Source organism: Homo sapiens, chromosome X (assembly GCF_000001405.40).
Source record: "Homo sapiens chromosome X, GRCh38.p14 Primary Assembly".
NCBI lineage: Eukaryota > Metazoa > Chordata > Mammalia > Primates > Hominidae > Homo > Homo sapiens.
In genome coordinates this window covers 118,024,807-118,042,763 of record NC_000023.11, presented here as the reverse complement: position 1 = coordinate 118,042,763, position 17,957 = coordinate 118,024,807, and the positions used below count along the sequence as shown (strand labels likewise).

General features: G+C 38.7%; 1 protein-coding gene across 4 annotated transcripts in view, besides 1 other annotated feature; it reads left to right on the top strand.

Annotated features, from left to right (window-relative positions):
* KLHL13 (kelch like family member 13) overlaps window positions 1-17,957 on the top strand; it is a 219,528-nt gene that overhangs the window by 74,577 nt on the left and 126,994 nt on the right. For 2 of the 4 annotated variants that reach the window (NM_001168301.2, NM_001168302.2), the window contains exon 2: window positions 14,267-14,340. The exons of the other annotated variants lie outside the window; for them this stretch is intronic. In NM_001168301.2, coding sequence (NP_001161773.1) covers window positions 14,291-14,340 — 50 coding nt within the window. In that variant the 5' untranslated portion in view covers window positions 14,267-14,290. The remainder of the gene's footprint in view (window positions 1-14,266; window positions 14,341-17,957) is intronic. 4 annotated transcript variants of the gene reach the window in all.
* Window positions 10,086-10,586: an enhancer, noted in NCBI's record as "H3K4me1 hESC enhancer chrX:117166141-117166641 (GRCh37/hg19 assembly coordinates)". NCBI's record gives its function as "activates a minimal SCP1, AML or CMV promoter by ChIP-STARR-seq in primed H9 embryonic stem cells {active_cell/tissue: H9 hESC(primed)}" and the evidence as "EXISTENCE:reporter gene assay evidence [ECO:0000049][PMID:30033119]".

Here is a 17,957-nt window from a genome sequence, read left to right as displayed (position 1 = left end):
ACTCTCCTTTAAGTACTGCTTTCACTGTATCTTATAGGTTTTGTATGTTTTGTTTACATTATCATTTGTTTCAAGAATTTTTTGAATTTCCTTCTTAATTTCTTTTTATAAAATCTGCTGTGAGAGAACAGCTTCTAAATTTCTTCATTGACCCACTGATCATTCAGGAGTGTATATTTTAATTTTCATGTGTTTGTACAGTTTCCAAAATTTCTCTTGTTATTGATTTCTAGTTATATTCTATTGTGGTCAGAGAAGATGCTTGATGTAACTTCAATTTTTTTGAATGTTTTAATACTTGTTTTGTGGCCCAACATATGACCTGTCCTTGAAAGTGATCCATATGCTGAGGAGAAGAATGTGTATTCTGTGCTGGTGGATGAAATGTTCTGTAAATTTCTATTAGTTCCATTTGTTCTATAGTGCAGATTAAGTCCAATGTTTCTTAGTTGATTTTTCAGTCTGGGTGATGTGTCCAATGCTGAAAATGGGTTATTAAAGTCTCCAGCTATGATTGTATTGGCATCTATTGCTCTCTTTAGGTCTAATAATATTTACTCTATATGCCTAGGTGCTCCAGTGTCGGGTGCATATATGTTTACAATTTTATATCCTCTGGCTGACTTGACCCCTTTATCAGTATAAAATGCCATTTTGTCTCTTTATAGTTTTTGTCTTGAAATATGTTTTGTGATATAAATATAGCTATCCTGGCTCTTTTTTTGGTTTCCATTTGCATGGAATATCTTTTTCCATTCCCTTATTTTTGAACTAAGTATTTCTCTACAGGTTATGTGTACTTTTTGTAGGCAACAGATCTTTGGGTCTTGTTTTTGAAAACCATTCAGCCAATCTGTGTCTTTCGATTGTAGGATTTAGTCACGTAGATTCAATGTTGTAAGGACTTCAGCCATTTTGTTATTTGTTTTCTGGTTGTTTTATGGTCTTCTCTTCCTCCTTTCCTTCCCTCCTGTCTTCCTTTAGTGAAAATAATTTTCTCTGGTTGTATATGTTAATTTTTTATATATCTGATATATGTTTTTTGATATGAGGTTACCATGAGACTTTCAAATAATATCTTATAACTCATTATTTAAACTGTTGACGGCTTAATACTGAATGTGTAAATAATCAAACAAATAAGCAAGAGAAAACCAGAGAAAACCAATAAAACTCTACACTTTAACTTCTTCCCCTAGCTTTTTAACTTTTTGTTGTCTCTTTCTTTTCTTTTTGAGATAGGGTCTCACTCTGTCATCCAGGCTGTAGTGCAGTGGTGTGATCTCAGCTCACTGTAGCCTCGAGACCTCCTGGCCTTAAGTGATCCACCCACCTCAACCTCCCTAGTAGCTGGGACTATAGGCATGCACCACCATGCCTGGCTAGTTTTTGTGTTTTTTGTAGAGACAGGGTTTTGCCATGTTGCCCAGACTGGTCTTGAACTCCTGGGTGCAAGTGATCCACCCACCTTGGTCCCCCAAAGTACTGGGGCTACAGGCATGAGCCATTGTGCCTGGCCTGATGTTTCTATTTATATCTTGTTATACTGTTTATGCTGTGAAAAGTTGTAATTATATTTCACTGTGTTATAATATTCTGTGGTTTTCAGTGTGCTTATCATTACCAGTAGGTTTTGTACCTTCTGAAGATTTTGTCTTGCTCAATAATATCCTTTTCTTTCAGATTGAGGAACTCCCTTTAGCATTTCTTCTAGGACAGATCTGGTGTTGATGAAATTCCTCAGCTTTTGTTTGTCAAGGAAGGTCTTTATTTCTCCTTCATGTTTGAAAGATATTTTTGCCAGATATACTACTCTAGTGTAAAAGTTTTTTGTTTTCCTTCAACACTTTAAATATGTCATGTCACTCTCTCCTGGCCTATAAGGTTTCCACTGAAAAGCCTGCTGACAGATGTATTGGAGCTCCATTGTATGTTATTTGTTTCTTTTCTCTTGCTGCTTTAGGATCCTTTCTTTGTCCTTGACCTTTGGGAGTTTGATAATTAAATGCCTTGAGGTGGTCTTCTTTGAGCTAAATCTACTTGATGTTCTGTAACCTTCTTATACTTGAATATTGATATCTTTCTCTAGGTTTGGGAAGTTCCCTGTTATTATCCCTTTGAATAAACTTTCTATCCTCATTTCTCTATCTACCACTTCTTTAATGCCAATAACTCCTAGATTTGCCCTTTTGAGACTATTTTCTAGATATTGTAAGTATACTTTATTCTTTTTTATTTTTTCTTTTGTCTCTCTATTTTCAAATAACCTATATTCAAGCTCATTAATTCTTTCTCATGTTTTATCAGTTCTACTGTTGAGAGACTCTGACTCATTCTTCAGTATGTCATTTGTATTTTTCAGCTCTCGTCTGATAGGATTCTGAATTCTTTCTCCGTGTTATCTTTAATTTCATTGAGGTTCATCAAAACAGCTATTTTGAATTCTCCATCTGAAATGTGACATATCCCTGTCTCTCTAAGACTGGTCTCTGGTACCTCATTTAGTTTGTTTGGTGAGGTCATATTTCCTGGGTGGTCTCAACGTTTGTAGATTTTCGTTGGTGTCTGGGCATTGAAGAGTTATGTATTTATTTTAATCTTTGCAGTGTGGACTTGTTTTTACTCATCCTTCCTGGGAAGGCTTTCCAGGTATTTAAAGGGACATGGGTGTTGTGATCTAAGTCTTTGGTCACTGTGGCTATATTTTCATTAATGGGCATCTCAAACCTCGTAACGCTGTGGCTCTTGCAAACTCTTGGAGATACTGCCTTGGTTGTTTTTGCTAAGATCCAGAAGAATTCTATGGATTACCAGGCAGAGACCCTTGTTCTCTTCCCCTAATTTCCCCCAAACAAATGGAGTCTCTCTCTCTCTCTTTTCTGAGTTGTTTAGAGCTGAGGGAGAGGTGACACCAGCACCTCTGTGGCAACCACCACTGGGACTGCACTGGGTCCCACCTGATGCTAGCACAGCCCTGGGTTTTGCCCAAGGCTCATGGTAACCACTTCCTGGCTACTGCTTATGTTCATTCAAGGCCCAAGTGCTCTACAATCAGCATGTGGTGAATCCAGCCAGGCTTGTGTCCTTCCCTTCAGCATGGTGAGTTCTCCCTGGCCCTGGGTGTGTCCAGAGATCCTGTCTGGGAGTTAAAGCCTAGAGTCGGAAACCTTAGGAATCTACCTGGTGCTCTAGTCTGCTGTTACTGAGCTGGCACTCAAGTTGCAAGACAAAGTCCTCCCCACTTTTCCCCCTCCTTTCCTGAAGCAGAGGAGCCACTCCTTTTGGCCATCCTTACCCCAGGGCTGTAATGAGTACTATCTAGCTACCAGTGATGTTCACTCAAGGCTCAAGTGCTCCTCAGTCAGCTTGTGGTGAATGCTGCCTGTCCTGAGTCTTTCTCTTCAGGGCAGTGGGCTCCCCTCTGGCCAGGGCAGGTCCAGAAATACCGTCCAGGAGTCAAGGCCTAGAATTGGGGACTGTAGGAGCCTGCTTGGTCCTTTACCCCACTGTGGTCTCTCCACATAGCTAACACATCTAGGAATGTTCTGGGTCACATGTGAAGCCAGCATGGCTCTGAGTCTCTCCCAAAACCCACAGTGAGTATTGCCTCACTACCACTGCTGATTTTTCAGGGCCCAAGGGCCCTTTAATCAGCAGATGATTAATCCTGCTTAGGACTGGGTCCTTCCCTTCAAGGCAGCAGGTTTCCTTTTTGCTCAGGGTGTCTGTAGAAATGTCATCTGGGAACTAGGGCCTGGAATGGGGGCTTCAGAACTGTGCCTGCTGTCCTAGCCTACTGTAGGTAAGCTAGTATGCAAGTTGCAAGACAAAATCATCTTTTTCCCTTCTGTCCTCAAGTGGAAGGAAGGAGTCTCTCCTGTAGCTGTGAACGGTGCTGCCTGGGGTTATGGGAGGGCTGATGCAAGCACTCCCTTGGGTGCACCAGCTTGTGTCTCACTGGGTCATGTGCACCCCACATCCACTGGCTTTGAGCCCAGCATAACACCAGGACTTGCCTAGGAATTGCAGTCCTAGTGGCCTGGACTGCCTTCTCACTTTATTTAGAATGCCAGAGCGCTTTAGCCCATGGTAGCAGGGCTTGATGGAACTCAGGTTCTAATCATTGGGATAAGCAATTTATCTCTTCCTAGGCCTGGTCTAAATGCTCCCTCCATGGTCGTTGGCTGAGTTTTTCCCCTTGTTGCTCTCTACTCTGACAGGGTAGCACTGAGTTCCAATGGAAAGTCCCCATTACTGCAATCTCTCTCCTCTAGTGCACAGATTCTCCCTCTGCACAATGTGGCCACTGCCAGGGGATGGAGGGGTGGTGATGTAGGCGATTAAGGGCTGTATATCCTACAATCTTCAGGGCCTTTTTCCTTAATTTGATGTTAAAACAAGGTATTGTGATCATTCACCTGATTTTTGGTTGTTATGAAAGTTCTTTTTTGTGTAAATAGTTGTTCAATTTCGTCTTCCTACAGGAGAGATGATCACTTGAGGCTTCTATTCAGCCATCTTGCTCTGATTGCCTTCACTTGAGTAACATTTCCCAATCTCATCACTTCACTTGTTACTTAATTGGCTAAATATTCCTACATTGACACTTCTAGTTCCAATCTAAATCTAGATGTAATCTTTTCAATTTTCTGTTAGACACTGTTTGGTGTGTCCTATGGTACATAAATGTGTGTACATCAAACAATTGTTCTCCTTTTTTCAATATTTTTCCTTATTCTCTACATGCTACCTCACTTGATATCTTCATCCTCATCCCAGTTATTTAAACAGATTTTGTGATTTTGTTTGTGATCTCCTTATCCCTGTAATACCTATTCATGATCTTTTAGTCAATCAGTCCTAGTTCACTCTGGCTATCCTCATAGACATTGTCTGGGCTCTTATCTCAGTTCTTGACTGTAGAAGAACTTTCTTAACTGATCTCTAGATATCTAGTCTATCTCTCTTCCATCCCCATATTGGAGCTGTGCTAATTTTCTTTTCTTTTTTTTAATTACTATTATACTTTAAGTTTCAGGGTACATGTGCACAATGTGCAGGTTAGTTACATATGTATACATGTGCCATGCTGGTGCACTGCACCCACTAACTCGTCATCTAGCATTAGGTGTATCTCCCAATGCTATCCCTCCCCCCTTCCCCCACCCCACAACAGTCCCCAGAGTGTGATGTTCCCCTTCCTGTGTCCATGTGTTCTCATTGTTCAATTCCCACCTATGAGTGAGAATAAGCGGTGTTTGGTTTTTTGTTCTTGCGATAGTTTACTGAGAATGATGATTTCCAATTTCATCCATGTCCCTACAAAGGACATGAACTCATCATTTTTTATGGCTGCATAGTATTCCATGGTGTATATGTGCCACATTTTCTTAATCCAGTCTATCATTGTTGGACATTTGGGTTGGTTCCAAGTCTTTGCTATTGTGAATAGTGCCGCAATAAACATACGTGTGCATGTGTCTTTATAGCAGCATGATTTATAGTCCTTTGGGTATATACCCAGTAATGGGATGGCTGGGTCGAATGGTATTTCTAGTTCTAGATCCCTGAGGAATCGCCACACTGACTTCCACAATGGTTGAACTAGTTTACAGTCCCACCAACAGTGTAAAAGTGTTCCTATTTCTCCACATCCTCTCCAGCACCTGTGGTTTCCTGACTTTTTAATGATTGCCATTCTAACTGGTGTGAGATGGTATCTCATTGTGGTTTTGATTTGCATTTCTCTGATGGCCAGTGATGGTGAGCATTTTTTCATGTGTTTTTTGGCTGCATAAATGTCTTCTTTTGAGAAGTGTCTGTTCATGTCCTTTGCCCACTTTTTGATGGGGTTGTTTGTTTTTTTCTTGTAAATTTGTTTGAGTTCATTGTAGATTCTGGATATTAGCCCTTTGTCAGATGAGTAGGTTGTGAAAATTTTCTCCCATTTTTTAGGTTTCCTGTTCACTCTGATGGTAGTTTCTTTTGCTGTGCAGAAGTTCTTTAGTTGAATTAGATCCCATTTGTCAATTTTGGCTTTTGTTGCCATTGCTTTTGGTGTTTTAGACATGAAGTCCTTGCCCATGCCTATGTCCTGAATGGTAATGCCTATGTTTTCTTCTAGGGTTTTTATGGTTTTGGGTCTAACATTTAAGTCTTTAATCCATTTTGAATTGATTTTTGTATAAGGTATAAGGAAGGGATCCAGTTTCAGCTTTCTACATATGGCTAGCCAGTTTTCCCAGCATCATTTATTAAATAGGGAATCCTTTCCCCATTTCTTGTTTTTCTCCGGTTAGTCAAAGATCAGATAGTTGTAGATATGCGGCGTTGTTTCTGAGGGCTCTGTTCTGTTCATTGATCTATATCTCTGTTTTGGTACCAGCACCATGCTGTTTTGGTGACTGTAGCCTTGTAGTATAGTTTGAAGTCAGGTAGCATGATGCCTCCAGCTTTGTTCTTTTGGCTTGGGATTGCCTTGGTGATGCGGGCTCTTTTTTGGTTCCATATGAACTTTAAAGTAGTTTTTTCCAATTCTGTGAAGAAAGTCATTGGTAGCTTGATGGGGATGGCATTGAATCTGTAAATTACCTTGGGCAGTATGGCCATTTTCACGATATTGATTCTTCCTACCCATGAGCATGGAATGTTCTTCCATTTGTTTGTATCCTCTTTTATTTCCTTGAGCAGTGGTTTGTAGTTCTCCTTGAAGAGGTCCTTCACATCCCTTGTAAGTTGGACTCCTAGGTATTTTATTCTCTTTGAAGCAGTTGTGAATGGGAGTTCACTCATGATTTGGCTCTCTGTTTGTCTGTTGTTGGTGTATAAGAATGCTTGTGATTTTTGCACATTGATTTTGTATCCTGAGACTTTGCTGAAGTTGCTTATCAGCTTAAGGAGATTTTGGGCTGAGACAATGGGGTTTTCTAGATATACAATCATGTCGTCTGCAAACAGGGACAATTTGACTTCCTCTTTTCCTAATTGAATACCATTTATTTCCTTCTCCTGCCTAATTGCCCTGGCCAGAACTTCCAATACTATGTTGAATAGGAGTGGTGAGAGAGGGCATCCCTGTCTTGTGCCTGTTTTCAAAAGGAATGCTTCCAGTTTTTGCCCATTCAGTATGATATTGGCTGTGGGTTTGTCATAGATAGCTCTTATTATTTTGAGATATGTCTCATCAATACCTAATTTATTGAGAGTTTTTAGCATGAAGGGTTGTTGAATTTTGTCAAAGGCCTTTTCTGCATCTTTTGAGATAATCATGTGGTTTTTGTCTTTGGTTCTGTTTATATGCTGGATTACATTTATTGATTTGCGTATATTGAACCAGCCTTGCATCCCAGGGATGAAGCCCCTTTGATCATGGTGGATAAGCTTTTTGATGTGCTGCTGGGTTTGGTTTGCCAGTATTTTATTGAGGATTTTTGCATCAATGTTCATCAAGGATATTGGTCTAAAATTCTCTTTATTGGTTGTGTCTCTGCCCGGCTTTGGTATCATAATGATGCTGGCCTCATAAAATGAGTTAGGGAGGATTCCCTCTTTTTCTATTGATTGGAATAGTTTCAGAAGGAATGGTACCAGTTCCTCCTTGTACCTCTGGTAGAATCCGACTGTGAATCCATCTGGTCCTGGACTCTTTTTGGTTGGTAAACCATTGATTATTGCCACAATTTTAGCTCCTGTTATTGGTCTATTCAGAGATTCAACTTCTTCCTGGTTTAGTCTTGGGAGAGTGTATGTGTCAAGGAATTTATCCATTTCTTCTAGATTTTCTAGTTTATTTGCGTAGAGGTGTTTGTAGTATTCTCTGATGGTAGTTTGTATTTCTGTGGGATCGGTGGTGATATCCCCTTTAACATTTTTTATTGCGTCTATTTGATTCTTCTCTCTTTTTTTCTTTATTAGTCTTGCTAGCGGTCTATCAATTTTGTTGATCCTTTCAAAAAACCAGCTCCTGGATTCATTAATTTTTTGAAGGGTTTTTTGTGTCTCTATTTCCTTCAGTTCTGCTCTGATTTTAGTTATTTCTTGCCTTCTGCTAGCTTTTGAATGTGTTTGCTCTTGCTTTTCTAGTTCTTTTAATTGTGATGTTAGGGTGTCAATTTTGGATCTTTCCTGCTTTCTCTTGTGGGCATTTAGTGCTATAAATTTCCCTCTACACACTGCTTTGAATGCATCCCAGAGATTCTGGTATGTTGTGTCTTTGTTCTCGTTGGTTTCAAAGAACATCTTTATTTCTGCCTTCATTTCATTATGTACCCAGTAGTCATTCAGTAGCAGGTTGTTCAGTTTCCATGTAGTTGAGCGGCTTTGAGTGAGATTCTTAATCCTGAGTTCTAGTTTGATTGCACTGTGGTCTGAGAGATAGTTTGTTATAATTTCTGTTCTTTTACATTTGCTGAGGAGAGCTTTACTTCCAACTATGTGGTCAATTTTGGAATAGGTGTGGTGTGGTGCTGAAAAGAATGTATATTCTGTTGATTTGGGGTGGAGAGTTCTGTAGATGTCTATTAGGTCTGCTTGGTGCAGAGCTGAGTTCAATTCCTGGATATCCTTGTTAACTTTCTGTCTCGTTGATCTGTCTAATGTTGACAGTGGAGTGTTAAAGTCTCCCATTATTAATGTGTGGGAGTCTAAGTCTCTTTGTAGGTCACTCAGGACTTGCTTTATGAATCTGGGTGCTCCTGTATTGGGTGCATATATATTTAGGAGAGTTAGCTCTTCTTGTTGAATTGATCCCTTTACCATTATGTAATGGCCTTCTTTGTCTCTTTTGATCTTTGTTGGTTTAAAGTCTGTTTTATCAGAGACTAGGATTGCAACCCCTGCCTTTTTTTGTTTTCCATTTGCTTGGTAGATCTTCCTCCATCCTTTTATTTTGAGCCTATGTGTGTCTCTGCACGTGAGATGGGTTTCCTGAATACAGCACAGTGATGGGTCTTGACTCTTTATCCAATTTGCCAGTCTGTGTCTTTTAATTGGAGCATTTAGCCCATTTACCTTTAAGGTTAATATTGTTATGTGTGAATTTGATCCTGTCATTATGATGTTAGCTGGTGATTTTGCTCGTTAGTTGATGCAGTTTCTTCCTAGTCTCGATGGTCTTTACATTTTGGCATGATTTTGCAGCAGCTGGTACCGGTTGTTCCTTTCCATGTTTAGTGCTTCCTTCAGGATCTGTTTTAGGGCAGGCCTGGTGGTGACAAAATCTCTCAGCATTTGCTTGTCTGTAAAGTATTTTATTTCTCCTTCACTTATGAAGCTTAGTTTGGCCGGATATGAAATTCTGGGTTGAAAATTCTTTTCTTTAAGAATGTCGAATATTGGCCCCCACTCTCCTGGCTTGTAGAGTTTCTGCCGAGAGATCTGCTGTTAGTCTGATGGGCTTCCCTTTGAGGGTAACCCGACCTTTCTCTCTGGCTGCCCTTAACATTTTTTCCTTCATTTCAACTTTGGTGAATGTGACAATTATGTGTCTTAGAGTTGCTCTTCTTGAGGAGTATCTTTGTGGCGTTCTCTGTATTTCCTGAATCTGAATGTTGGCCTGCCTTGCTAGATTGGGGAAGTTCTCCTGGATAATATCCTGCAGAGTGTTTTCCAACTTGGTTCCATTCCCCCCCCTCACTTTCAGGTACACCAGTCAGACGCAGATTTGGTCTTTTCACATAGTCCTACATTTCTTGGAGGCTTTGCTCATTTCTTTTTATTCTTTTTTCTCTAAACTTCCCTTCTCACTTCATTTCATTCATTTCATCTTCCGTCGCTGATACCCTTTCTTCCATTTGATCGCATCGGCTCCTGAGGCTTCTGCATTCTTCACGTAGTTCTCAAGCCTTGGTTTTCAGCTCCATCAGCTCCTTTAAGCACTTCTCTATATTGGTTATTCTAGTTATACATTCTTCTAAATTGTTTTCAAAGTTTTCAACTTCCTTGCCTTTGGTTTGAATTTCCTCCCTTAGCTCGGAGTAATTTGACCGTCTGAAGCCTTCTTCTCTCAGCTCGTCAAAGTCATTCTCCGTCCAGCTTTGTTCCGTTGCTGGTGAGGAACTGCGTTCCTTTGGAGGAGGAGAGGTGCTCTGCTTTTTAGAGTTTCCAGTTTTTCTGCTCTGTTTTTTCCCCATCTTTGTGGTTTTATCTACTTTTGGTCTTTGATGATGGTGATGTACAGATGGGCCTGTGGTGTGGATGTCCTTTCTGTTTGTTAGTTTTCCTTCTAACAGACAGGACCCTCAGCTGCAGGTCTGTTGGAGTACCTGGCCCTGTGAGGTGTCAGGCTGCCCCTGCTGGGGGGTGCCTCCCAGTTAGGCTGCTTGGGGGTCAGGGGTCAGGGACCCACTTGAAGAGGCAGTCTGCCCGTTCTCAGATCTCCAGCTGCGTGCTGGGAGAACCACTGTTGTCTTCAAAGCTGTCAGACAGGGACATTTAAGTCTGTAGAGGTTACTGCTGTCTTTTTGTTTGTCTGTGCCCTGCCCCCAGAGGTGGAGCCTGCAGAGGCAGGCAGGTCTCCTTGAGCTGTGGTGGGCTCCAACCAGTTCAAGCTTCCTGGCTGCTTTGTTTACCTAAGCAAGCCTGGGCAATGGTGGGCGCCCCTCCCCCAGCCTCGCTGCCGCCTTGTTGTTTGATCTCAGACTGCTGTGCAAGCAATCAGGAGACTCCGTGGGCCTAGGACCCTCTGAGCCAGGTGCTGGATATAATCTCCTGGTGCGCTGTTTTTTAAGCCCGTCGGAAAAGCGCAGTATTCGGGTGGGAGTGATGCGATTTTCTAGGTGCGGTCTGTCACCCCTTTCTCTGACTAGGAAAGGGAACACCCTGACCCCTTGTGCTTCCTGAGTGAGGCAATGTCTTGCCCTGCTTCGGCTCGCGCACGGTGCACGCAGCCACTGGCCTGCACCCACTGACTGGCACTCCCTAGTGAGATGAACCCGGTACCTCAGATGGAAATGCAGAAATCACCTGTCTTCTGCGTCACTCACGCTGGGAGCTGTAGACCGGAGCTGTTCCTATTCGGCCATCTTGGCTCCCTCCGCTAATTTTCAAATATATATTTGTCTATATATATGATCTGGCTAAAAATTTTAGTTATATATATTATATATAACTAAATATATATATATAACTAAATATATATACAACTAAATATATATATAACTAAATATATATATAACTAAATATATATATAACTAATATATATATAACTAAATATATATATAACTAATATATATATAACTAAATATATATGTGTGTGTATATATATATATCTAAATATATATATCTATATATATATCTAAATATATATATCTATATATATATCTAAATATATATATCTATATATATTCCCTGGCTAAAAGTTTTAGTTAAAGTTAAATCCCACATAAACTTGATCACATGTGTTTACTTCTCCCTTCCTAACTTCATGAAAAAGAGAGTAAGGTAATGGAAAAACTCAATAAGACAAAGAGAACAGGAGTAGGAGCATTGATAGTTGTAAGGTTCAAACTAACTTTTACTTATTGCAATGGAAGTTTCAACTTGAATATCTCCTTCTACATGAACTTCTGAGAGAAACCAACTAATTCTTCCCATAAAACTCCTAATATTTTAAGACTTGGAGGTACCTGGTCTGTGGAAGGCAGGAATGTGTCATGAGATTGGATACATGAGTTATTTGTTGAAAATCTTTATGATAAGTGGCTGCAGTTCCATATCCTATCACCTACTCCCTGCTCCTCAGGAGACCAAATAGTTTATTTTCTGGAGAATCTGAATAAGAATATCCCAGACTCAGAAATCCAGGCACAGTAGGAGGGTTGGTTGAAATAAGAAGACTGTGTTATTCTGTTTTGTGCTGCTATAACAGAGTACATTATAATTTATATATAACAGATTGATTTACAATGAGCAGAAATTTATTTCTCACAGTTCTGGAGGCTAGGACGTTCAAGATAAAAGAGGCTGGCATCTGACAAGGGCCTTCTTGCTGTGTCATCCCATGGCAGAAGTTGGAAGGGCAAAAAGAGGCAGAGGGAGAGAGAGAACACACAAGAGGAAGATGAACTTGAACTTGTCCTTTTATAAGGAACGCATTCCCATGATAATGGCATTAATCCTTCATGAGGGTGGTGCCCCCATGGCTAAACACCTCCTGTTAGACCCCACCTCCCAACAGTGTTGCATTGAGGTCAAGTTTCCAACACATTCTTTTTTGGGGGCACATTCAAACCATAGCAGAGATTAAGAGAAAATTTGCATACCTAATTTCAGGACCTGTATGTTTCATCCTAGATGCAATTAGTGAAACAGGGCATGAGTTATTTAGTTTTACATTATCAGATTTCTAGTAGTAATCTAGATATAGATTTTTCCCTTTTCAACATCTTCTAAATAATTGTATAGTCTAAACATAATTAAAAAATTTTAACATCTCAAATTCTCTCATCACTTTAACATGTTTTAGAAAAGGTAAATCGAAGGTCAGTTCATGTGAGAGTGTGTAAAATATTAATTTCATTTAACCTACTCAGTTTCTTTACTTGTAATAACAGAATTATAAGCAGAAAAATGATTGTACAAATAAACATAAATGATGTCATTTGATTTATTTGCTTTTTAGAATTATGAAAACCCAATAAATAGAGTTTTTTTTCCTCTTCTATTTCTTTTCCTTAAATTCAGGGGCTGGAAGAGGGCTGACGACAATGAAGAATCCCTCCTCCTGCTTGCTTAATTATTTTAGATCTTCACATAACTTCTTTTTTCTTTTTCTTTTCTTTTATTATTATTATTTTTTGAGACAGGGTCTCACTCTACCACCCAGGCTGGAGTGCAGTTCTGTGATCTTGGCTCACTGCAACCTCTGCCTCTTGGGCTCAAGAGATCTTTCCACCTCAGCCCTCTGAGTAGCTGGGTCTACAGGCACATACCACCATGCCCAGCTAATTTTTGTATTTTTATAGAGACGGGGTGTTGTCATATTGTCCAGGCTGGTCTCAAACTCCTGGACTGAAGCAATCTGCTCGCCTTGGCATCCCAAAGTGCTGGGATTATAGGCATCAGCCACTGCACCCAGCCAACATAACTTTATGAATAAACTAAATTGCGTATTATGCATTTTTATTTTCCCAATGTAATAAATTGATTTTATTAACAAGAGATATTTAAGTAAAATTTACATTTTGCTTCCCAATATATCTGAAACGAATAGAATAAATACATAAAATATATTCTACCTTCCCAGTGTTATACATCGGCATTACTAAAATGTAGATATTTTAGATATAGTTGAGTTTACCAAAACTCACCTACTCTTTTCCTACAAAAATAATCACCAAAACAAAAATTCAGTGCAGGCCAAGAAAATATTTCTATCCGCTATTTTATGTCTTTCGAATTTCAAAGTACTATACCTTTCTAGCTTATATTTTTTTGCAACCAATTCTAAAATTGTGTTCCCTGTTTATAGACTTCTCAGACCCCAAGTTCCTGAGGTAACATGGGAATCAGTGCTGTCTCTATGTGTGTGTATCTATGTGGCATGTATTTGCCTCAACTCCCCCCTTCTAACTTCTCTTGTCTAACCCAACTTCATACAGGGTCCTTAGGTCTTCTGATTCTCAGTTTATTCCAATTTCCTGTATAAATAGTCCCTCTTGTCTGCAGGTGGTATGTTCCAAGACCCCCAGTGGATGCCTGAAAACGTGGAGAGTACCGAACCCTATATATACTATGTTTTTTTGATAACTGAGACCGCTACTAAGTGGCTAGGAGACAAGTGGCATATATAGCATGGATACACTGCACAAAAGGATGATTTACATCCCAGGTGAGGTGCAGCAGGATAGTGTGAAATTTTATCCTGCCACTCAGAATGGTGTGCAATTTAAAAACATGTGAATTGTTTATTTTGAGAATTCTCCGTTTAATATTTTTTGAACTGCAGAAGGCCAAACCATGGATAAGGGAGGACTACTCCACTTGGTTGCTTTTCCATGGATAATCATTAGTTACTGATTTCACATGAAATTTAGTCAATAGTATTTAGTGATTCACTATTAAATTTCATAGATATTTTTACTTTCAGTTTTTTAAATAAGATTCAATTTCTTAATTTTCTTAAGATGTAATATGAACATTAAGTACAGGGGCATACATTTTTCCTTTAATTCAACCATGAAAAGTATAAAAATATTATAAAAACAGAAGTTGAAAATTCCAGTGTTAATCTTCATAGTAAATATTGGCTTCTTTTCCTCCTGAACAGGTCATTATCCAACTTTTAGAGGTGATGGATCATCTGCATAGAGGGGAATTGGTTGCTGCAATACTTCGTAACCGGTATATTTATGGAAATAGTTTAACTTATATAACGTCTTTCCTATTTATATACCTAACATAGCAGGCATTCAATAAATATTTGTTGAATACTTGGTATAAAGTAAGTATTTACTGTATGAATGAGTTAGAGAATGACTAAGTGACAAAGAAATTGAATAAAGAGGATGTTAGTGACAATGTTTCCTGAGATAATGAAAAAATAGAGAATATATTTAGAAAATGTAATTGGTATAAATTATGAGCACCTGGAATACAATCAGTGGAGATATTTATTTGAATTTTTAGTTTTAAAGGCATATCTGAATAAATACAGGTATCCATAGCTTAAGAATAGAAGTGCCAACAACACATTTTTAAAAATAGGATTGTCCTGTGATTGTATATATTTATATTATTTAAAAATCCAGTTAAAACCTTTTCAGGGAGTTACTATGAGATATTTAAAGCTTCTTCTGACAAATTAGGATTTTAAATTTATTATTTAAAGAAAAATAGCCTTGTTTGCAGGTGTGACAGAGTCTGTCTTATTCCCAGTAGCTTGATTGTACAGTTTGGATGAAACATTTGGAATAGTATGTTTGAGTTGTCTGTATCCTGGCTCTGATGCTTACTAGTGGTATAGCCTTGGGCAAGTTTCGTAGTCATTCTATACCTCAATTTCCTCACCTATGAAATGGTGTTAATAATAGTACCTACATTGCAGGGTTGTTGTGAAGATTAAATAAGTGTGAAAGGTGGGGCATGTATGAAAGTGTGTGTGTGTGTGTGTGTGTGTATGTGTGGAGAGAGAGAAAAAATAGAGAGCGGGTGTGAGTGAGTGAGCTGGGCAGATAGTAAGCAGTATATATGAGCTAGTATGAGGGAACTTTTAAAAGTTCATGGAAAAAATGGAAATAAAAGATAAAAATAAAAAACAACTGTTTCTTAATATAAGCTCCACCCAAATCAAGTTGCTTTTTTAAGTGTTGATACCAGCCATTTAAAGAACTGAGCGTCCTGGGAATTTAACCATATCAATGATGTTTCTTTTACATTATTAAGTGAAGAAAAATGGGTGCTCTTTAAAGGGTTTTTAAGACTAGGAAACAAAAAGAAGTCAGAAGGAGCCAAATTAGTACTGTAAGATGGGTGCTTAATGATTTCCCATCAAAACTCTCACAAAATTGCCCTTGTTTGAGAAATGAGCAGAAGCATTGTTATGGTGAAGAAGGACTTTCTGCTGAAGCTGTCCTAGGCATTTTTCTGGTAATATTTTGGTAACTTTCTCAAAACACTCTCATAATAAACAGATGATATAGTCCTTTGGCCCTTCTGAAAATCCTCAAGCAAAACGTCTTGATCATCCCAAAATAACTGTTGTTGTGACTTTTGCTTGTGACCAGTCTGCTTTTGTTTTGACTGGGTTACTTCTACCTTTTCCTAGCCATTGCTTTGATTGTGCTTGTCTTCAGAATCATACTGGTAAGGCCATGTTTCATTTCATGTTACAATTCTTTGAAGAAATACTTCAGGATCTTGATCCTACTTGTTTAAAATTTTCCATTGAAAGCTCTTTTCTTGTCTGCAGCTGATCTATGTGTAATTGTTTTGGTAGCCATCAAGTGGAAAGTTTGCTCAACTTGAATTTTTCAGTTGGAGTTGTGTAAGCTGAACCAACTGTGGTATCTATGGTGTTGGGTATCATGTCTGCTGTTATTCGCTGGTCCTCTTTAATTAGGGCATGAGCAAGATTAATTTTTTCCTTGCAAATTCATTTGGATCATCTGCTGCTGAGGGCTTCATCTTTAACATCATCTCATCCCTTTCTAAAATGAGTTATCCATTTGTAAACTGCTGATTTCTTTGGGGGCATTGTCCCCATAAACTTTTCATAAAGCATCAACGATTTCATCATTCTTCCACCCAAACTTTGTGATAAATTTGATGTTTGTTCTTGCTTCAGTTTTAGCAGAATTCATGTTGCTTTGATAGAGGCTCTTTTCAAACTGATGTCTTATACTCAGTGCTTCAAACTGGGTCCTGTTCAGGCATTTATAACACATTACTATGAGTTTATTTTCATGCAAAAAAATTGAAATCCATGCATAGTTTTTTTCAAAATACACATTTTGCATGAACTTTTTGAAGATCCCTCATATTATTCAAATATAAAAGTGAGATTTTAATTATTTTGAAAATGTAGTATTTGTGTTTTTCAATTCCGAGGTATTTTAAAATACAGGCATGTTGTAAAATGAACAGAAAACGTAGGAAAGGTTGAGGTAGGAAGGGAACATATATAAAGTTACTGTTACTTGACAGATACCATAGAAGGAATTTTCCATAATAATCCAATTAGAGAAATAACATGATGGGTGCCTGTTTGTTGGAATGTATACAGTAGTCCCCCTTTATCCATGCAGGATACATTTCAAGGCTCCAAGGTTGCCTGAAACTGAGGATAGTACCGAATCCAACTGTCATCAATCAGAACATATTTCTGCTCATCTCTTCTACTCACAAATATAAACATTTTCCATCTTAACTAAGCACTTTTCATACACTGTGGTCATAACTTTTGCAGTTTGAGTGTGACAGCAGAACTAGCACAAGCTGCTTCTTCCTTCTCCACAATTTCACCAACAGATTTCTTTCTTACTGTTGATCTGAGCAACCTCAGCATGTGTTTTTTAAAAATTAATTTTGTTTTAAGTTCTGGGATACATGTGCAGGATGTGCAGGTTTCTTATGTAGTTAAAACGTGTGTTCTGGTGGAGGGAGAACATACTTTTGTAAGTCAAGAACTTTGACCCTTTCACTTAAAGGAAACCCTTTATGGCTTCTCTTTGATATATCCAAGTCACCAGTATCACTATTCTTGCACTATGGGCCATTATTAAGTTAAATAAGGGTTCCGTGAACACAAGCACTAAATACCTCAGCAGTTGATCTACTAACTGAACTGGCTACTAAGTGACTCATGGGTGGGTAGCATTTACGGCAAGGATGCTGGACAAAGAGATAATTCCCGTCGTGGGTGGGGTGGAGTGAAGTAGGATAGTGTAAGATTTCATCATCTTACTCAGAATGACACACAATTGAAAACTTATAAATTGTTTATTCCTGGAGTTTTCTATTTGATATTTTCTTTAGAATGTGGTTGACCATGGGTAACTGAAACCAGGGGAAAGTGAAACCATGCATAAGCAGGGACTACTGTACTATCATCTGGGCTAGGGTGGAATATTCAGCTTAGGGGCTGTAAAACAGACTTGCTCACAGATACAGAAAATAGGGGAATCATAGCAGGGATAATATGTGGCCATGTTGGGTGAAAACAGGAGTAGATCAGGGGATGTTGAATTTATAGCTGCATGTATCAGTAGTTCCTTCTTTATTGTTGCTGTGTAATATTTCATTGTTTAAATATGCAACAATTTATTCTATCTATTTTCCTGTTGATAGTCATTTAAGTTGCATCCACATTTGGCTATAATGCATAAAACTGTTATTAGAATTCTTGTATAAAATTTATTTTGGCCACATGCACTCATTTTGTTTGGATTTACAGTATACTAGAAGTGGAACTGCTGGGACATAGAGTAAGCTACTGTTGTTTAACATTTGTAGAAACTACC